Raw genomic sequence first — 22,218 nt, 5'->3', positions numbered from 1 at the left:
TGAAGGCTTATTAGTAGTTGTCACAGTAAAGGTTATCATAATTCTTTTGTAATGCTGTCTCATGAGTCTCTTTATCATTTTTCCTGACTAACTTAAGAGGTTAGTTAAGTTCTCAAGGGAATTTCTGAAGCCTAAATAGATGCTTCTGGCCGGGTGTAGTGGCTCACGCCTGTAATCCCAGCACTTTGGGAGGCCGAGGCAGGCGGATCATTTGAGGTCAGGAGTTCAAGACCAGCCTGGCCAACATGGTGAAACCCCGTTTCTATTAAAAATACAAAATTAGCCGGGTGCAGTGGCAGGCGCCTGTAACCTCAGCTCCTCGGGAGGCTGAAGCAGGAGAATCGCTAGAACCCAGGAGGCGGAGGATGCAGTGAGACGAGATCGCGCCACCGCACTCCAGACTGGGCAACAGAGACTCTGTCTCAAAAAACAAACAAACAAACAAAAACCCTAAATAGATATTTCAATAGCTGGGAAGCGGGGAGTGGAGACAGTGACCTGATGTTAACAGAGCGGATGATTTATGTGGCTGGCGGGGCCACACCCAGTCATTATTCACTTTTCCCGTCCTCACCAGGTGCTCCTTTTCTTTATTTGAGCCTTTCTACCAACTCGCTTTACTCTCTTCCAAGGGCAGACAAACCAAAATAAATAAATAAATAAATAAATAATAATAAAATTAAAAAAAGGGTGGATATAGAATTTTATTTTTTATAAGAAAAGACAAACCATATTAACAACTCCCTTCCCTACGATATAAAGTGCCAACAGTTACGAAAACAGATACTGAATAGTCGGTCCTCAGCTGCAATCTGCGGCAATGACTAGTGCCTAAAAAATCATAAAGCCATGGATTTTGAAAATAACCTACTATCAGTAAGAGCATAAATACCCTTCTAACTCACTGCAAACAGTCCTAGGAGTAGAGACTAGGTAAGATCTGGAAATTGGACTTAAAAAATTCTGAAGGGAGCAGGACAAGGAGGGGAGGTACCAAGCTATCTCCAAACGCCCCTCAAACCAGAGGCGCTTTAATGAATCTCTACCCCTGACTTCCCCTCACCTTTTCCACGTGCCCCTTTAATTCCCCTCTACCCTCACCACCCCTCCCAAGTCTTCGATTGCTTCCTCGGTTACCTGCTCCCTAAGTCTCGAAGCGTGGGCAAAACTCTGCAGCCGAAGTGCCGGCCGGCAAGGAAAGGGTGACGGCAGAGAACGCCGGCGCTTGACTGCCGCCCGTTCCACCTCGGGAGAAGCGCGCACCGACCTGCACGCGGCACCAGGACCGCGGAGTGAGCCCTACCAACTAGCCCCGCCCACTCCCTAGGAAGGCCCCACCCCCTCGGCAAAGAGGTTTTTTTGCCCTTGGCAGGCGCCGTAGTCGCCGTACAACCCGCGAGGCCCCACACTTTCTGCGCCAGCTGGGAGTGCGCGCCCTGCAGAGCCAGTGGGTGGGCGGTTCTAGCTCTTCCCACCCTCACTGCGGGCCTCTGCTGTCACACGCCCGGGGTGGCGAAACGGTCGCCACCTGAGTCTCCATTCTGCTGCAGTGGCCCCTGCGTTAAAGCTCTCTCGTGGTGCGGCTGCCGAGGCTGCGGTAGCTCCTGCGCCCCCGTGCTGGTGGCGCAGCCTCTGCTTGCTGCCGACCTGGCGGAAGGGTGCGGGAGCGCACGCTACGGGCAGCGTCGGTCTGCGTCCTTCCTCCTCCTATTCCGACCCCCGCATCCCACGCCCCCGCCTCGCTCTACGCCTCCTCCCTGGCTGCAGGCAGACCGCTTCACACAGCCGCAGTGCCCTGTGTGTGGACAGCCTGTGGGAGACTCGCACGCCCACACTCACCCCGCCTGGCTGCACCCCTGCCCAGCATGTCGGCGCTCGAGTGGTACGCCCACAAGTCTCTAGGCGATGGTATCTTCTGGATTCAAGAACGTTTCTACGAGTCGGGCAACCGTGCCAACATCTGGCTGGTGCGCGGCTCCGAGCAGGACGTGGTGATCGATACAGGCCTGGGGCTGCGCAGCCTCCCGGAGTACCTGTACTCCTCCGGCCTCTTGCAGGACCGAGAGGCCAAAGAGGACGCGGCGCGCCGGCCACTGCTTGCCGTGGCCACCCACGTGCACTTCGACCACTCCGGCGGCCTCTACCAGTTCGACCGCGTGGCAGTGCACCACGCCGAGGCCGAGGCGCTGGCTCGCGGGGACAACTTTGAGACCGTGACCTGGCTTTCCGATAGCGAGGTGGTGCGGACGCCCAGCCCCGGCTGGAGGGCCAGACAGTTCCGGGTACAGGCGGTGCAGCCCACCCTCATCCTGCAGGATGGTAATGGGCCCCCGCGGGCGCGCGCTCTCGTTAAGGGAGGGTATTGGGAAGAGACTGTCCGAGTGCCGCATGTTGCAGACTTGCGTGGCCATAAAGGGGATTATTTTGGCACCTCGCAGAGCCACTTCTGTTTCACCCTTCCCTGAGTAAAAACCCACTTGACCAGAGTCAAGGCCATCACAGCCTTCCCTGCCAGAGACCAGCTCTGGCATCGTGTAGAGATTCTGAGTACTCCTTTGAAAGCCGGCACCACCCCCTCCCTAGCCACTTTCCTGCATCGGCTGTAGCAGTAACACTACAAAGACTTGTGACTGACTAGGGATTTCTCATTCTTTCCCTAAGCACCTGCCCGACATTTCCAGGAGCTTTCGTAGTGAGCAGACTTTTAAGGAATGACCCCTCACGGAGAGTGCATGTCATGATCTGTGCTTTTGAGAATTGCAGACTTCATCAGCTTGGTCCCCACCGGGTATGGGCAGTTCCCACCTGTAGCCTTAGAGAGTCATCAGACCAGTGATTCCAATCCGCTAATGCGATTGGAAACCTTTCAGATAGGTTTCTGTTCTTGATGTTGCCTCACGATTGCAAAAGCTTAATAGTAATCATAAACGTAGAATATGTCTGAGTCTTACTTTATGACAGATATTTGGTCCGGTTGAAAGCAAAGCCTGAGAAAGATCAATAAGGAAGTAATTTTCGGTAGAGGTAAATTATGTGGACTAATGCATAGGTAGCCATGGTCCTCTTTGGCTCTGTGAAAGACAAGTATGGAATTCAGAGAGAAATTCATGGAATGAAAATAAATAGGGCCTCAGCCCATTCTCCCTACGTAGGGACTTAAATAATTGAGCTAATTCGCCACATCAGCAATATTTGGTATATTAGTTTTCTATTTTCTTTTTAAAATACTTTTGATTTCATTTTATCTTCACAACACATTTAAAGTGAGGCCACTGACCCCCCAGTTAAATGGCTTGCCTGAGCCAGATCATGATAAAAGCTAGGATATGAATCTAGGCACAATAGATCAAGGCATGCAGAACATACATAAATCCTGCCTCATAAATATATGATGATTTTGAGTAGAATGTGAAAGGCCCCTTCTTTCCTTTAGCGTGAGATCATTTTAATTACCAATGTGGTATATTAAAACGTGCCTCTATATGGTAGAAAAATTCAGTTGCTGCAGTATAATGAAGCTCACTTTATGACCAAACAATATGGCAAATAATGAAATATTTTACAAAAATCAGTTTATCTCACAGATGACATCTTCATTTGAGATATTTTAAAAATTGCAATATTGTACTGCTTATCGGTGCTAAAAAAAAAATTGCAAGATTCTGTACCTCACACCCACCGAACAAGTCTTCATTAAAGTTTTAAATCTAAATTTAAAAAAAAAAACTGATTTAGATAAGAGTCTTACATTATCTGACAATATGAGATGAAAGTACATGTACATTAAATTTTAATTCACATTAAAGTCACACCTAATTACTGTATTTCTTGATAAAAATGGGTACTTTTAGAGGTAACATTTCCATGCAGTTGATAGGTATTCAGACTAAATTCTGACACCCGGATCAAAAATGTTTACATTGGTATTAAAATATACTTAAATTGTTGAAAAGAATAAATTACTTTTGAAATTTACTTTTGATTCTGTGTCAGCAATGGGAAATCAAAGGTGAGAGAATGATAGGGGTTTTTTATAGATGAAGAAAGAACCCATGCAGGGCTGAGTATCATGTGTGAGGTCACATACCCCATCTCGGAAAGAGCTGGGACTAGAACCCAGGTTTCCAGTTGATGGTAGAATCCCAACATTTTTGGAGCTGAAAGGGGCCTGCAAACTACTTGTGTGGTGCTTTAAGCCTTTAAAAGGGTGAAAAGAAAGCTTAATGTTTACCAAACACTTTGAAGGTGATAGTACTGTGTTATCCGTGTTATCAAAAGTTGTTTTTCATTAGGAGCTGGATGCCCCACCCTCTCAGGTAGTGTCTAATTTCCTCTCTTCTCAAGAATATTAATTTCCCGTATCTTCTGAATGATGTGGCCTGCTAACTTGCTGTTAACATAATCCAGGTGCCTGGGAGGATACATAAAATATTTGTATTAAAAATTTGTATACAGTTACACACATGAACAGCATAAAGTCTTCATTGCTTTGGTAGAATGCAAGGAGCTGAAATCATTTATTACATTTCCTTTAATGAATTGATGATCACTTGTCATGGAGAAGCATAAATCTGTGCACTGTATCTCTAACCCAAAAGCCGACTTGTAAATGAGGGACAAGGAGAGAATAGCCATATCTTCCAGTGCATTATTCTGGATAAAAAAGCAACTCGCCCTACTAATAGTGAAATGGTTATCTTCCTCTAAGATAGCAGCAGACCTTAAATTGACATAGTACATACCTCTCGAGTGGGCATACATCATTTTGCCCATTTTTCACTATAGTCAAGTGATACAAAGTTCTGGCATTGTGATCCCTATTACATACATGTTTAAACCATATGCCCAGTGTCACCAAGATATTATCTCAGAGGAGTGGTTTCAGGTGGACTTAAGTCATTTGCAGAGGCTAAAACAGGTTGTAGGAAGGTGGTGGATTGAACAGACACATCTAATTTGGCTCTCTTCCGAAGCACTGTTGAACTGTGAAAAAATCGTGATTTCAATTTAAATCCCCATTGGCGGGGGGAACTGTTTTGGATGCTAGAAAGTAGATGTGGTGACTAAGTTAACAGTTTTATACTATGCCAGCAAAGGGAAATTAAGAGCCAATTCAGTTTGCACCGCTGAAGCCTTAAAAAACTCAGGAATTTGCAATAGGCAGTAGTACCTCAGTGGCGGCAAAGGGAAGAGTAAGCAGAATTTCTTGAAAACCTTTTAAGAAGCTCTTAAAACTCTAGTGAATGCCCCTCCCTCTCCCATCCAATTAGTTTATTCTCTGGGGATAGTAAAACAAAGGAGTTTCTTGATTGAAGGATGCCAAATTACTGTTGAGCTTAAGGGCTCAGTATGGAAAACAGGAGAAAGAAAGCGTGTGTGTGTGTGTGTGTGTGTGTGTGTGCGCGCGCGCTAGTTTTCTAGAAGGATGAGAGACAGGAGAAAGAGTGTGTGTGTGTTCTACTAGTTTCCTAGAAGGATGAGAGCCAGGCCTTTCCCCACCCAGGTAGGAAATTAGAAAAATGTTATCTAGGGAATCTGCCTCCTAGAAGAAAGACTAAGATACCAATGTAGAGGAATACCTAAGAAATCCTGGCCTCTTTCTCTACTGTGAAGCCTTGGTCACCAGGCCCCATGCATGTGCTGCAAGCAGCCTTCTTGTCCCCCCTTCTTTTTTTTAATTGATACCTAATAGTTGTAATTACTTATGGGGTACGTGTGATATTTTGATAAACGCATACAATGTAATGATCAGATCAGGTTATTTAGAATATCCATCACCTCAAACATTTATCATTTCTTTGTGTCAGAAACATTCCAAATCTTCTAGCTATTTTGAAACATGCAATAAATCCTTGTTAACTCTAGTCTATCAAACACTGGAACTTACTTCTTTTATCTAACTGTATTTTTGTACCTATTAACCAATCTCTTCATTCCCTTCCCCCCTACCCTTTCCAGCCTCTGGTAACCACCATACTAGCACTACCTCCCACATATGAGTATAAACGTGGGATATTTGTCATTTTGTGCCTGGCTTATTTCACTTAACATAATGCCCTCCAGTTCCATCCATGTTGCTGCAAATGACAGGATTTCATTATTTTTTATGAGTGAATAATTCCACTGTGTATATTTTCCCACATTGTCTTTATCCATTCATCTGTTGATGGACACTTAGGTTAATTCCACATCTTGGCTATTGTGAATATTGCTGCAATAAACATGGGAATGCAGTTATCTCTTTAGTATTCTGATTTCCTTTCTTTTGGATGTACATACCCAGCAGTGGGATTGCTAGGTCGTATGGTAGTTCTATTTTCAGTTTGTTGAGGAACCTCCATACCATTTTCCGTAGTTGCTGTACTAATTTACATCCCCACTAACAGGGTACAAGCATTCCCCTTTCTCCACATCCTTGTCAGCATCTGTTATTTTCTGTCTTTTTGACAATAGCCATTTTTACTCATGCCCCCCAACTCTTAAATAGGCAACCAAGCATTATAAAAAAACAGAAAATTCTCTAACATGAGATCAGCTATTAAAACAAACAGCATAAAGCAATTTGAGAGTGGGGAACTATCATCAATATCATCAGGGGGATAAGACAAGCTATTGCATTCAAGATATCCAAGAGTCAGTAAGGATGCTTTAAAAATAAATAGAACAATATTCACCAAAAAAAAAAAACTCTTAGAATTTAAAACATCAGAAATTATGTAGCAGCAGGTCTGGAAGATAAAGTTGAAAAACTTACTAAAGATCAGTACAGGAAAATGGGAACTAGGAGAGAAAAAGACTAAAATAAGTAGGAGGACCAGTTTGGAAAATCCAGCCTTAGAATAATGGATGCAGAGATAGGACAGAGAAGGTGAAAGAAAAGAAATAGTAGGGTGGCTGGGCACAGTGGCTCATGTCTGTAATCCCAATAATTTGAAAGGCCGAGGAGGGCGGATCACCTGAGGTCAAGAGTTCAAGACCAGCCTGGCCAACATAGTGAAACCCCGTCTCTACTAAAAATACAAAAATTAGCTGGGTGTGGTGTTGCATGCCTGTAATCCCAGCTACTCGGGAGGCTGATCTTGGTTATTTCTTTTTTTCTCCTGGGTTTGGGTTTGGATTGTTCTTATATTTTCTAGTTCCATGAGGTGTGACCTTAGATTGCCTATTTATGCTCTTTCAGACTTTTTGATGTAGGCATTTAATGCTATGAACTTTCCTCTTAGCACTGCTTTTGCCGTATCCCAGAGGTTTTGATAGGTTGTGTGTCACTATTAGTGTTCAGTTCAAAGAATTTTTAAATTTCCATTTTGATTTCATTGTTGACCCAATGATCATTCAAGAGCAGGTTATTTAATTTCTATATATTTGCATGGTTTTGAGGGTTTCTTTTGGAGTTGATTTCCAATTTTATTCCACTGTGGTCTGAGAGAACACTTGATACAATTTCAATTTTCTTAAATTTACTGAGTCTTGTTTTGTGGCCTATCATATGGTCTATCTTGGAGAATGTTCCATGTGCTGATGAATAGAATGTAAGAAATCAAAAACATGATACAAGATATGAAAGGTAAATTCTTCAGTGAAATAGATAGCATAAATAAAAAACAGTTACAACATCTGGAAATCAAGGACATATTTAGAGAAATTCAAAATGCACTGGAAAGTCTCAGCAATAGAATCAAACAAGCAGAAGAAAGAACCTCAGAGCTCAAAGACATGGCTTTTGAATTAACCCAATCCGTCAAAGACGAAGAAAAAGGAATTAAAAAAAAATGAACAAGGCCTCCAAGAAGTCCGGGGCTACGTTAAATGTCCAAGTCTAAGAACAATTGGTGTTCCCAAGGAAGAAGATAAATCTAAAAGTTTGGAAAACTTATTTGAAGGAATAATCGAGGAAAACTTACCCAGCCTTGCTAGAGATCTAGACATCCAAATACAAGAAGCTCAAAGAACACCTGAGAAATTAGTCACAAAAAGATCATCACCTAGGCACATAGTCATTATGTTATCTAAAGTCAAGATGAAAGGAAAGAATCTTAAGAGCTGTGAGAAAAAAGCATCATGTAACCTGTAAAGGAAAACCTATCTAACAGCAGAAACTCTACAAGCTAGAAGGGATTGGGGTCCTATTTTTAGCCTTCTTAAACAAAACAATTATCAGCCAATAATTTTGTATCCAGTGAAACTACACTTCATAAATGAAAGAAAGATACAGTCTTTTCTAGACAAACAAATGCTGAGGGAATTCACTGCTACCAAGCCATCACTACAAGAACTGATAAAAGGAGCTCTAAATCATGAAAGAAAACTTTGAAATACAACAAAATAGAATCTTCCTTAAAGCATAAACCTCACAGTACCTATATAACATCTAACAATAACAATGTAAAAAACAAACAAACCGCCCCCCCCAAAAAAAGAAGGTATTCAGGCAACAAATAGCGTGATGAATAGAATAGTATGTCGCATCTCAATACTAACATTGAATGTAAATGGCCTAAATGCTCCACTTAAAAGATATAGAATGACAGAATGGATAAGAATTCACCAACCAAGTTTCTGCTGTCTTCAGGAAACTCACCTAACACATAAAGACTCACATGAACTTAAGGTAAAAGGGTAGAGAAAGATTTTCCATGCATATGGACACCAAAGGTAAGCAGGCTTATATCACACAAAACAAAATGTAAAGCAACAGCAGTTAAAGAAGACAAAAAGAGGAACATATAGTGATAAAAGGACTAGTCCAACAGGAAAATATCACAATTCTAAATATATATGCACCTAACACTGGAGCTCCCAAATGTATAAAACAATTTCTACTAGACATAAGAAATGAGATAGATGGTAACACAATAATACTGGGGGACTTTAATACTCCACTTGTCGACAGTACTAGACAGGTCATCAAGATGGAAAGTCAACAAAGAAACAATGGACTTAAACTATACCCTAGAACAAATGGACTTAATAGATATTTACAGAACATTCTACCCAACAACTACATTTTTTTATTTTTTACTTTTTTGAGATGGAGTCTCTCTCTTGCCCAGGCTGAAGTGCAATGGTGCAATCTCACTGCAGCCTCTGCCTCCCAAGTTCAAGCGATTCTCCTGCCTCAGCCTCCTGAGTAGCTGGAATTACAGGCATGCACCACCACCTCTGGTGAATTTTGTGTTTTTGGTAGAGATGGGGTCTCACCATGTTGGCCAGGGTGATCTCGAACTCCTGACCTCAAGTGATCCACCAGCTTCAGCCTTCCAAATTGCTGGTATTACAGGCATGAGCCAGTGCGCCCAGCTCACATCTTTTTCAACACTTGGTTTTGTCAATCCTTTTCAATTTAGCCATTCTAGTGAGTGTGTAGTGGTACTTGATTGTGATTTAATTTGCATTCACTAAAAACTAATGATGTTGAGCATCTTTTTGGTACTTATTTGCTAATCAGATATCCACTTTATTAAATGGTATATTAAAATCTTTTTTAAAAATTCAGCTTTTTTATTATTGAGTTATGCAAGCTCTATATATTCTGAATACAAGATTTTATCAGATGTACATTTTGCAAATACCTTCTCCCAATGTGTGCCCTGCCTTTTCATTCTTAATGGTGTCTTTTTAAGCAAGAAAGTTTATAACTTGAAGTCCAGTTAGCAATTTTTGTCTCGTGTTTTATGATTGTTGTGTCATATTTAAGAGCTCTATGTCTAGCCCAAGGTCACAAAAATGTTCCCCTAATTTTTCTCTAGAAGCTCCCATATTTAGGTTTATGACTTATTTTCAGTTAATTTCTGTGAATATTTGTGAAGTAAGGGTTGAGAGGTTCTCGATTCTTATTTGTTTGTCTGCAAATGGATATACAAAGTATCCCAGTCCAGTCTGTCAAAAAGACTGTCATTTTATCCGTTGAATTATCTTGTTTGACTTTTGTCAAATATCTATTGACAATATTGTGTCTACTTTCAGACTCTCTGTTATATCGATTATGTCTATTTAGTCAGTAACACAATATTTTGATTACTGTAGCTTTATTGTACACTTGATCTTAGCCAAAAGACTGAGAAGTGATGTTTTATTGTAACTCTTGAAATTAGTATACGTCTTCTTACTGTGTTCCTCTTTTTCATAATTGTATTGGCTATTCTAGGTCATTTGCATTTCCACGTGAAATTTAGAGTCAGATTTTCAGTTTCTTCGAAAAAAGATCAAGATTTTGATTGAGATTATGTTGAATTTTTACTGGCCATTACAGTAGCCACTAGCCATGTATGGCTATCAAATTTAAATTAAGATTACCGGATATGGTGACTCACCTGTAATCCCAGCTACTTAGGAGGCTGAGGCTGGAGGATCATTTAAGGCCAGGAGTATAAGACTAGCCTAGGCAACAAAGCGAGATCCTGTCTCTAGAAAAAGTTTTTAAGTTAGCTGGGCTGGTGTCATATACCTGTAGTCCCAGCTACTTGGAAGGATCCCTTGAGCCCAGGAGTTCAGGGGTTACAGTGAGCTATAAGCGGGCCACTGCACTTTAGCCTGAGTGACAGAGATTCCATCTCTTTAAAAAAATAATTAAGATTGGTTAGAATTAAAATTTTAATTCCTTAATTGTACTAGCTTTATTTCAAGCACCATTAGCCACACCATATTGAACAGTATTGAGAACCAACATTTCAATCATTGCAGAAAGTTTTATTAGGCAGTGTAGCTATTGGAAAAATTGGGTTACATTACCATCATAGCAATATTGAGCCTTAGTGATATTGAGACAGTCAGTAAGCATAGCCTATCTCTCCTTTTATTGAGGTCTTCTTTAATTTCTCTTGACAGTGTTTTTGTAGTTTTCATTATACAGTGTTCATATATTACAAAACATCTTTTGTCAAATTTTTTCCCAAGTATTTTATTCTTTTTGATGCTATTTTGAGTCAAATGTCTTAAAATTCATTTTTGATAGTTACTTGAAGCATATAGAAATATAGTTTATCTTTGTATGTTGATCTGGTATCCTGTAACATTGGTAAACTTTTTAGTTCTCTAGCTTTTTCCTACTTAGGATTTTCTGTATGTAAGATTATGTCTAAATAAAGACAGATTTTCTTTTCTAATCTGTGAGACCTTACTCTCTTTTTCTTGGCTTATTACACTGTCTAGGATCTTCAGTATAATGTTGAATAGAAATGGTAAGAGCAGACATCCTTGCCTTGTTATCTTAGGAGACTTTCTATTCAAAGAGGTATTACCTATAGATGTTCATAAGTGACTTTTATCAAGTTCAGGACCTTCCCCAACTATTCCTAGTTTGCTGGAAGTTTTTATCATGAATGAGAATTGGATTTTGTCATATGCTTTTTATGTATCTATTGAGATAATCATATGGCTTTCTCCTTTATTAATACAGTATATTACATTAATTTATTTTCACTAGTTAAACCAAACTTAATATTTCTGGAATAAACTTCACTTGGTCATTTTCCTATTTATAAGTTGCTGGATTTGATTTGCCAATATTTTGTCAATAATTTTAAGATTGCATTCATTAGGTATATTTGTGTATAGGCTTTTTTTTGTTTTGTTTGAAAGAGTCTCCCTTTGTTGTTCAGGCCGGAGTGCAATGGCGCCATCATAGATCTCTGCAGCCTCAAATTTCTGGGCTCAAGCAATCCTTCTACCTCAGCTTCCTGAGTAACTGGGACTACAGGCACAAAACACCCTACTTGGCTTTTTAAATTATTATTTATTTTTAATTTTTATAGAAATGGAGGTCTCACTATTTTGCCGAGGCTGGTCTCAAACTCCTGGCCTCAAGCAGTCCTCCCACATGTTGCCAAAGTGCTGGGATTACAGGAGTGAGCTACCGCACCAGGCCTGATGTTGTTGTTATTTTAATATATTGTCTTTGTCTGGCTTTTATGAGGGTAATAACTGAGTTAGATTTCTCATCTGTATTCTGAAAGTCTTTATATGGGTTGAAATTATTATAGGGTTGAAATTGTCCCGTTATAAAATGATTGACAGAATTGATCAATGAAGCCTTTGAGCCCAGACTTTTCTTTGTGGGGAGACTTTAAATTGTTAATCAATTTATTTGCTTGATATACATTTATTTAGACTTCATTTCTTCTTGGATCACTTTTGATAATTTGTCTCTTTTTAAGAATATGTTCATTTCAAATAAGTTGTCAAATTTGTTGGCTTAAAATTGTTCATAATATTCCCTTATTCTCCTTTTAATTTCTTCAGGGTCTGTAGTGATGTTCCTTCTTTAATTCCTATTTTAGCAAGTTGTATCTTCTCTAATTTTTTCTTGATTTGTCTAGCTAAAGGTGTATCAATTTTGTTGTAGTTTTCAAATAAACAACTGTTGGTTTCATCTGTTTTTTTCTGTTGGTATTTGTATTCATTTATTTTTGCTCTGCCCTTTATTATTTCTATTAACACTTACTTTGTGTTTGATTTGTTCTTCTTTTCCTAACTTCTTAGGATAGTAATTTGATTGTTGATTTTAAACATTTAATCCTTTATAAAATAAGCATTTAAAGCAATACGTTTTCTTCTAAGTACTGCTTCAGCTGTATTCTATACATTTTGATATGTTTTGATTTTGTTTTCATTCATTCAAAATATTTTTATATTTCCCTTTGATTTCTTCTTTGATCCATAAACAATGTAGAAGTTTGCTGTTTGCTTTACATATATTTGAATATTGCCCATATTTATTTTTGTTCTTCCTAATTTGTTATTTTTTGTCTATTAAAAACACATAATAAGGTTGGGCGCAGTAGCTCATGCCTGCAATCCCAGCACTTTGGGAGGCCAGGGAGGGAGGATCGCTTGAGGCCAGCCTTGGCAACATGGCAACCAGCCTGGCCAACATGGCGAAACCCTGTCTCTACTAAAAATATAAAAATTAGCCAGGCGTGATGGCACACGCCTGTAATTCCAGCTACTCAGCTGGCTGAGGCACAAGAATTGTTTGAACCTGGAAGGCAGAGGTTGCAGTGAGCCAAGATTGCGCCACTGCACTCCAGCCGGGGCGAGAGAGCAAAACTCTGTCTCAGAAAAAACAAACAAAAAGACTACATGTTATCAATTTTCTGTTCATTTTGTTATTTCTAATTTAATTATGTTGTAGGCAGAGAACATACTTTGTATGATTTTATTCCTTTTACATTTATTGATTCTTGCTTTATGGCCTAGCTTTATAGCCTGTTGAATATTTCAACTACAGTTGAAAAGAATGTGTACTTTGCTGTTTTGGAGTAAAGTGTTTTATTTTTGTCAGGTCAAGTTGGTTGATAAGAGTTGTTCAGGTCTTCCATATCCTTATTGATTTTCTATTTACTTATTTTATGAATTACACAGAGAAGAATATTGAACTCTCCAAGTATCATTGTTGAATTGTTTATTGTTTGTTTGTTTTTGCTTCATGTATTTTTGGTGATGTTTTATGTGCATGTACATTTATAATTGTTATTTATCAATGTATTGATTTAATGTACATTCTCATAAAATTACTTCTTTTTAGTAATATTCTTCATGTAAAAATCAATTTTGTCTTATATTAATATTAGCTGCCCTAGTTCTCTTAACAGTAATATTTAATATGGTTAAGCTTTTCAACCTATTTGTGTCTTTGGTCTTATAGTTTCTTTCTTGTAGGCTGCATATATCTTGATTTTTAATCCAGTCTGACAATCTCTGCCTTTTTATGTTTACCAAATCCTGATTATTACACCATTTTGATTCCTTTATTATTTTTTAGCTATATATTTTTAAATTTTTTCCTGTGTATGTGCTTGCACTAGAGATTACATTATGAATCTTTTAATTTACCATGATTTACTTCAAGTTCATACTAATTTAATTCCAGTGAAACAGAGCAATTTTCCACCCATGTTGCTCCATTTCCTCTCTGCTGTCGGTAACTGAAGTCTGAGATTTTACCCTATTTGCAAGTTAGCCTGCCAGAGTTTAATGTATTCTGACAGAAGACTTGAGGTTCCTGGGTCAGAGATTAAGGAGATTATTACTCACATATTAGAGCATCATGATTTATATCAATTCCTCAAGCCCTAATTCTGACAGGGTGATACAAGAGGCAAAATACAATAAAATTCCCTAGAGCAACATTCATTAATTGTGTCAACAGGATACTGGTACCATAGATGTGCTGAAAAGTAAAAGTTTCATGATCAAATAAGTTTGAGAAATTGTACAACTATATCTACTTTGTATATATCCACAGTATACATTCATATAATAAAAGCTCAAAGAAGTCTTTCTGAAAAGAAAGCTGCTTAATTTTCTTTAAAGTGAGAGTTCCTCAAATTATTTGACCACAGAACTACCTCCTTTTCATTTATGTATCATGATAGCCTGTAGAAGTAGTGTTCCACATTACTTGCTTTGGCAAACACTGGTCTAGCAAACAATAGGAATGAACTATAGGCAGCTTATTTTTAAATCATCATTAAGAAATACAGTATTTATGAAATAAAGTGTCATCCTTCCCAATTTCTTTGGAAGCATATAATGCTCTAGTATGCTTTACATGCTAAGTCAAGTATACAACATGTTTATCTGTAAACTCTGTTTCCATTTGTAGGGGATGTGATCAACCTTGGTGACAGACAGCTCACTGTTATGCACATGCCAGGTCACTCCAGGGGCAGTATTTGCTTACATGACAAAGACCGAAAGATTCTCTTCAGTGGAGACGTCGTGTATGATGGATCACTGATTGACTGGCTCCCATACAGCAGGATAAGTGACTATGTTGGAACTTGTGAACGTCTAATAGAATTAGTGGACAGAGGTCTGGTAGAGAAGGTGCTTCCTGGGCACTTCAATACCTTTGGTGCTGAAAGGCTTTTTCGATTGGCTTCTAACTATATTTCAAAAGCTGGGATATGTCACAAAGTTTCTACTTTTGCCATGCGATCTCTTGCAAGTTTAGCTCTACGTGTAACAAATTCTAGGACCTCGCCCTAGTATCTATACTGATAATATATTTTGATTAATTATATACATTAATTCATTCTGTGCTATTTAACTGATTAATAGTGAGCATTTCATGAAGTGCTTTTATACCACTATTATATATCAGAGAAAGATTGAGAATGAATAAGCCAAAAAGAAAATTGTTAGTTTAAATTGTTTTCTTTCTTCCAAGAAAGAAGCCACTTAAATAAGCTTATACTTTGCCAAAGCTGTCATCTTGTAATATATGCTCTAGAAATGACATAAAGGTTTATGGGGAAGCAAAGAGAGATTTTGTGGCAAGAGAACTGCCCTTGCCTCTGTTTTTCTTGTTTTATTCCCTTGATGACCTAGGGAAAAAAAGGCATGTAGAGTATTATGTTTATACTTTAAACTTGATATTTTTAGTGTATTATTTAAAGATAAAGGTTCTTGGGTTTAAAATACATTAGAACTTAATGCAGACATATAAAGTAACATTGAGAATGACAACTAAAACATTCCATTGTTATGGTCCTGAATTTTTTATGCTTCATTTCATGTATTTATTCTTTGTATAATTATAGCATACATGTTATGTAATATAACTTATGAAAAGTACAGTGAATTTTGCTTTATTGCAAAGCTTTAAATATAAATTTCAGAGTGCTTCAGTAAAAAGCTACTATATATTGTTGTTTGTTATTGTGTAGGTAATATTTTCAATTATGAAAGTGAAATGCAAATGTCTGTTATCTAACTACAAATTGTCAGATTTCTTAAAAGGACACTGTCAGGCAAATTTGAAAATATACACATTGAGAATAATTTTTTATTATTATATCCTATTTTAATATTAACAGCTATTATGAACAAAATTTTTCCTGTTAAATAGCGACTTCAGTATTGTGTTATGTTTTACAGCGTTAAAACAACTATGAAGATCTGCAGCTATTCTTTTACTTAACATGCATATGTACTACAGAGGGATTTTTAAATTAATTGCAAAATGTGCATTAGCTATTGACTTAGAGTGAATTGCCTTTTGTATCCTGATTCACAACACCTATTCCTGTTCAGTATTCTTTGTCTTGAATAGAGAAGTCTATGTTCGTAAAGTCATATAAAAGGTTATACCACTATTTAGTAAAAAGTTTTAGTTTGGTGCTGTTAATAATAATTTGCTAAAAGGCCTTTTAGAATATTTCATAAAGGGTTTTAAACAGTTTTTTCCCACTGCCTTTTTATTATTGACATATCTAAAACCAAACTGAAATCGCTTTGGAAATCAGATTTTTTAATGTTAGGAAGATCCAGCAATTTTGGTTTCTGAAAAATTACAAAACTTTTCTACCCTACAGATGCCCAGGTTCTTTAGTTTTTTATTCATTCAACTCACACACACATAAACATATACATACACAAACACAATCCCACATGCAAACACACACAGCCACATATATACATGTGTAGCACAGCGCTAAACACTGTGGAGGCTAAAAAAAGTCAAAGACAACATTATAACTAAAAGTCGAAAGCACACAAAATATAAATAATAGTGTATGCAAGTTAATGTACATTATACATGCGTGTAAGGGACATAAATGGAGGGGTGTGAACTTTGGTTAGGCAAAGTTTACTGGAGGAGGGGTTTTTGAGTCAAATTTGGAAGGATGAACTTGTTAGATAGTCAGAGTTGGAAACAAAACAATCCAAGAATAGGGATATAAGCATTGCTAGTCTAGAATAGTCTATTCCTTGTGAAAATATAAATTTAATTTTCAGGAATCCAGTATATTCCAAACATCACATATTTAGCATGAGAAAAATTGATTTGTGATTGTGTATATGAGTCATTGTTAATGGGAGACAAGCTGAACTGCCACATGCCACCAAATGAACCTTTACTTCAATCAAAAAGGAGGGTATGATTGGTTCAATTATATTAACAGAATATCATGGGCATTTCTCTATGATGGTCATTCAAGGTAGTAGGTCTCTTTCAACTGAGTGCAACATTGAGAATAATGATTTGGTTCAGGGCAACTACAAATAATCACTTACTAAGCCTTAAATAAAGCCATTATTTTTATATCAATAGCACAAAGGAAAACCAAAAGTCCTTAACCACTGACCATTTTTATCATATTTTAGGCCTTTTTTTAAAAAATCAGGGTATAGTAGGCACTAAGTTTTATTAGGAAATATTTAAACCTGCTGAAGGATTTATTTATAAAAAGTGCAATTTTTCAAAACACATTATTATTTTTTAATTTCCCAATTTTTTCAGTTTTTCAAATTGTACCACAACATAGAACTGTGATATTTTGCTATTACTTCAATGTGAATAAATAAGGTAAAGTATATCATTTATTGAGTGCCCATGCTGTACATTTAAAATATGCATTATTTAATTTAATCTTACTCCCAGCACCAAAAGGTAATTGACCAGCCTCAACACAATTTTGGACAAAGCTAGTAACTGAACACAGGTCTGTCTGCCCCACACTTCTCTTTCTCTTGTAACTGCACAATAGCAGAAAATTGGCAAGATGTATTTTTACTTTCCAAGATGCCGTGTGTGCCAAGAATAAATGAAATGATGTTAAAGCATAATAATAACATATCTTTAAAAAGCTTTTCAAAATATATTTTCACCCTGACAGTGACCCTTGTAACTTAAATGATTTTTGGAAATATTAGTATGTAAGTATAATTCAAAGTTGTCAAAATGTAAGACATTTAGAAGTAATTTTTATTATTTATATTGTTAATACTTAATCACTGGAAATTCATTTTCCTTACTCGATGTTTTCTTTCAACTGAGAAGCCTAAAACAAACAAAAACCTTGTGTGTTATCCTGATATAGTTGACTAAATGTATTTGTTCTTATATGGATAGTAATATGAATGTGACATGCACCAATTGTCCTATTATAATTTTCAGATAAGTGTAACTAAGCACTTGTGTAATAAATATTAGTCATTTTATTTCAATCTATAATTGATATTTTTATAACATTAGCAAGTTTCTATTTAATTTCTTGCAAGGATATTTCCTGTATAAAGTGCAGTTTTGAGAAGCTCATGGTCAATAAGATACTAAATTTGTGAGAAAGAATAGAGAACCCAGAAACAGAAAAATACTCATATAAGCCTTTTGTAATTAAGAAGTATGACAATTCAGATCAATGGGTAAAAGATAGACTATTCAATAAATGTTACAATTGTTGATGTGGGAAAAATGGCCCCTGCCATTATAAAAGTAAATTCCAAATGGGTTAAAGACCTAAATGTGAAAATCAGAACCACACATGTATTAAAAGAAATCATATTTAACACCTTGGAATGGGGAAGATCTGCCTTATATAGACACAAAAAGCAAAATTACATCAAAATTTTAAATGTCTTAGAATTTAGATGAAATAAAGTTAAAAAATCACAATTTGTATAACATAAAACAATTTAGCAAATATAAAGAATGCCTACAAATCAGTAAGAAAAAGATAACTACTGTAAGGGATGAAAGACGTTTCTTCTACCCTCTTAAGTTCTATAGTTGGGGCTGTGAATTAAACTGACAAAAGACAGATTAACAGGAGAAAAGCATATGCATACAAATTTTATTTAATGTTAATATTTTTATGTATACACACAGGCCTTCATGAAGACCCATAGAAGAAGATAGGCCTGAGCACTTATATACCGTTTTAACAAAAAATGACAAATTGTGGAGGTGTGACAAGACAAAGGAAAGTGGAGTTTTGGCTAAGGGTGGTAAATTGTGGGAAAGTGAACAGAAAATATATGGGAGAAACCAATGGAAGATAAGGAGTACTTTAGGAGGTTTGTTTATGCAGATTTATTTTGGCATAACTCTTCATCTCCAGTGAGAAGAATGTTCTCTTTATGGTATGGTGGAGAAGGGTACCTCTCTCATGGGAAATGTTATGCCCTGCTTTCGTGTAGTAAGGGGGCATCTGCATTTTCTCAGTTACCTTCAGTTCAAAAATTCAGTATACCAAAATGGCATATTTTGGGGTAGCATGTTCTGATCCCCTTCACTACATACTATAAAAAATGGGTAAATTGGGCCAGGCACAGTGGCTCATGCCTGTAATCCCAGCACTTTGGGAGGCCAAGGCAGGCGGATCATGAGGTCAGGAGTTCAAGAGCAGCCTGACCAACATGGTGAAACCCCGTTTCTACTAAAAATACAGAAGTTAGCCAGGCCTGGTGGTGCATGCCAGTAGTCCCAGCTTCTTGGGAGGCTGAGGCAGGAGAATCGCTTGAACCGGGGAGGCAGAGGTTGCAGTGGACTGAGATCACGCCACTGTACTTCCAGCCTGAGCAAAAGAGTGAGATTCCATCTCAAAAAGAAAAAAAAGGGTGGGGGGTAAATTGTATGAATAGGTTACTCACAGAAGAGGAAAAACAAAGGGTCAATAAACGTATAAAATAACACTGAACCTCACTAGTAACCAGGGAAATGCAAATTAAAATAATGAGATAGTTTAACCAGATTGGTAAATTTTAAGAATATGGAGTACTGGTAAGAGTAAGTGGCTGTTTCATGCTGTGCTGCCAGAAGTATAAAGTGCTGCACCATTTGGGGGGCAATTTTGAAGTACAATTTGGCACCATCAGACTTTGCCTTAAGAAGGGCAGTTTGAATATACACACTGCCCTCTGCTCTTTTCTAAAACTCTTAATAAAATGACAGGAAAGAGATTTTTTAAATGGCATAGACTCCCAGGAACAACAAGAATGGCAAAGGAGACAACAGCAACAACATTTCTGGACACCAAAAAGCAGATGGTGAATGAAAACTGACTTGACAAACCCAAGAAAGCTGAAAACTAGGCCAGGGATGAGGAAAGCCAAGAATTGATCTTATTGTAGCACAAAACCCCATAAAAAGCTTAGAAATTGATATTACTAGGTGACTCTGAGAGGGAGGTTAAAGGTCTTCTTGATTCAAATTTTGTTTGTGATTTAGACCACCAAGTTTCTCCTTTACACCATTAAGCAATTTTCCCCAACTTCAGGGACTATTGAAGTTCAGGACTATTGAACTCCCTGAATATAGATTTGCCATGAGGTAAAGTGTGCTATAGTTTTGGGCCACTGCACTTGGATGAGCCCCTTCCAAGAACCCAGGGGGAGCCTGAGATATGTACTAAAATGGTCTTTTTTTTTTTTTTTTTAAAACAGGGTCTCACTCTGTCACCCAGGCTGTAGTGCATGGATTGATCACAGCTCACTTCAGCCTCAACCTCCAGGACTCAGGTGATACTCCCGCTGCAGCCTCCCAAGTAGCTGGGACTACAGGCATGCACCACCACACCCAGCTAGTTTTTGTATTTTTAGTAGAGATGGGGTTTCACTATGTTGCCCAGGCTGGTCTCGAAATCCTGAGCTCAAGCAGTCTGCCTGCCTTGGCCTCCCAAATTGCTGGGATTATAGTCAGGAGCCACTATGCCTGGTAAGTCTTTTTTTTTTTTTTTTTTTTTTTAATTTGCAAAAGTAAGTTATTTTTGTATTCATTCTCTCAAAGCCCTCAAATCCCATACGCTTCAGGGCCCACAAAACTGAGATCTGCTCCAGGCTAGATAATTTTTAGTTAGAAGGGTAAAACAGTGGATTCTTATTTTGAGGAGACTAAACTTAATATTAAGACTCGGGCCCTATATTGAAAAAAGAGAAATTTGGCAAAGGTTAATATACAACAAAAAGCCGGGCATGGTGGTTCACACCTGTAGTCCCAGGACTTTGGGAGGCTGAGGTGGGTGGATCACCAGAGGTCAGGAGTTCGAGACCAGCTTGGCCAACGTGGTGAAACCCTGTCTCTACCAAAAATACAAAAATTAGCCAGGTGTGGTGGCAGGCGCCTGTAATCCCAGCTACTTGGGTGGCTGAGGCATGAGAATCCCTTGAACCTGGGAGGTGGAGATTGCAGTGAGCTGAGATCATGCCACTGTATTCCAGCCTAGGCGACAGAGCAAAATTCTATCTAAAAAAAACAAAAAAAAGTCTGTATACAAAAGCAAAGACCCACCATTCCCAGACTCTTCTGACATAGTTGAAAGAATGCATGTAGGTAGGATCACACCCTCCCAGCAGAAGGTTGAAAGAGTCATTTTGCAGAAATTTGACTCAAGAACTTCATGATATTGAATCTGGAGTCCCCAAGGAAAGGGCCCAGTGAGATTACCCTATAAGGCAGCTCACAGTTGAGACTCCCTTTCTTGCCCACTCCTACCACAGAAACTCTAAAGTCTTCTACTGATAAGTTTAAGTGTCTATGCCAAAAGCAAACATCCTATGGAAAAAAAATGTAAATAAGTGGAAAACCAACACTAAAGGCATTATGAGAATAAAGTAACGAGATATCGAATTAACGTTAAAAATCGAGAGTTCATTTATACATACAATGAGTTCAGAAATTTTATTTATTTATGTATGTATTTTTTGTTTTTGAGACGGAGTCTCGCTCTGTCGCCAGGCTGGAGTGCAGTGGTGCGATCTCGGCTCACTGTAACCTCCGCCTCCCAGGTTTAAGTGATTCTCCTGCCTCAGCCTCCTGAGTAGCTGGGACTACAGGCGTGTGTCACCAGGCCTGGCTAATTGTTGTATTTTTAGTAGAGACAGGGTTTCACCATGATGGCCAGGATGGTCTCGATCTCTTGACCTCGTGATCTGCCTGCCTTGGTCTCCCAAAATGCTGGGATTACAGGTGTGATCCATCGTGCCTGGCCCAAAAATATTATTTATAATATATAATAAAGCATATACTTATAATAATTTTTCAAATACCTAGGCACAAATAAAAAATGTTCAACATTATTTACAGAAAACTATGTTAAGAAAAACAACAAATACTATGTATTAATATTTGGATAGGAATATTGAGAAACAATTCTCCATGGGGTCTCTCACATTTCTGTGCATCTTGCAAACAAGCACTGACTACTTTTGTTCCATATGTTAAATTTTTTAAAATTATAAAAGCATAATTCTCACACCATTAAATTCATCCGTTAAAGAGTACAATTTGGTGGTTTTAAGTATATTCACAGATGTGTGCAACCAACACCATTACCTAATTCCAGAACATTTTTATTGCCCTCAAAGAAACCCTGTACCTATTAGTAATCACTACCAATTCTCCTTTACCCTCAGTTCCTGGAAACCACGCCTACTTTTTGTCTCTAGGGATTTGCCTATGCTGGGAATTCCAGATAAATGGAATTATATGGT

At 38.0% G+C, this 22,218-nt stretch overlaps 2 protein-coding genes across 13 annotated transcripts in view, besides 1 other annotated feature; one reads left to right on the top strand and one right to left on the bottom strand.

Annotated features, from left to right (window-relative positions):
• POLR3G (RNA polymerase III subunit G) overlaps nt 1–2,229 on the bottom strand; it is a 40,629-nt gene extending 38,400 nt beyond the window's left edge. For 8 of the 12 annotated variants that reach the window (XM_017008957.3, XM_047416633.1, NM_006467.3 and 5 more), the window contains exon 1: nt 1,138–1,294. The gene's annotated coding sequence lies outside the window, so the exon portion shown is untranslated. Of the gene's footprint in view, nt 1–1,137; nt 1,295–1,839 lie in introns of those variants that run through there. The other 4 variants (NM_001370354.1, XM_047416634.1, XM_011543101.4 and 1 more) reach the window with 1 other exon arrangement.
• MBLAC2 (metallo-beta-lactamase domain containing 2) lies at nt 1,387–17,949 on the top strand. The gene is made up of 2 exons (NM_203406.2): nt 1,387–2,319; nt 14,606–17,949. The coding sequence occupies exons 1-2, from the start codon at nt 1,866–1,868 to the stop codon at nt 14,989–14,991; spliced, it is 840 nt and encodes a 279-aa protein (NP_981951.2). The 5' UTR covers nt 1,387–1,865; the 3' UTR covers nt 14,992–17,949.
• Nucleotides 1,505–1,684: an enhancer, noted in NCBI's record as "active region_22778". NCBI's record gives its function as "activates an Ori minimal core promoter by ATAC-STARR-seq in GM12878 lymphoblastoid cells {active_cell/tissue: GM12878}" and the evidence as "EXISTENCE:reporter gene assay evidence [ECO:0000049][PMID:35858748]".
• Nucleotides 17,950–22,218: the final 4,269 nt, after the last annotated feature.

The sequence above is a fragment of the Homo sapiens genome, chromosome 5, assembly GCF_000001405.40.
Source record: "Homo sapiens chromosome 5, GRCh38.p14 Primary Assembly".
In the NCBI taxonomy this organism is placed as follows: domain Eukaryota; kingdom Metazoa; phylum Chordata; class Mammalia; order Primates; family Hominidae; genus Homo; species Homo sapiens.
The sequence above is the reverse complement of the archived record's forward strand: the minus strand, read 5'-3'. Positions and strand labels throughout refer to the sequence as shown.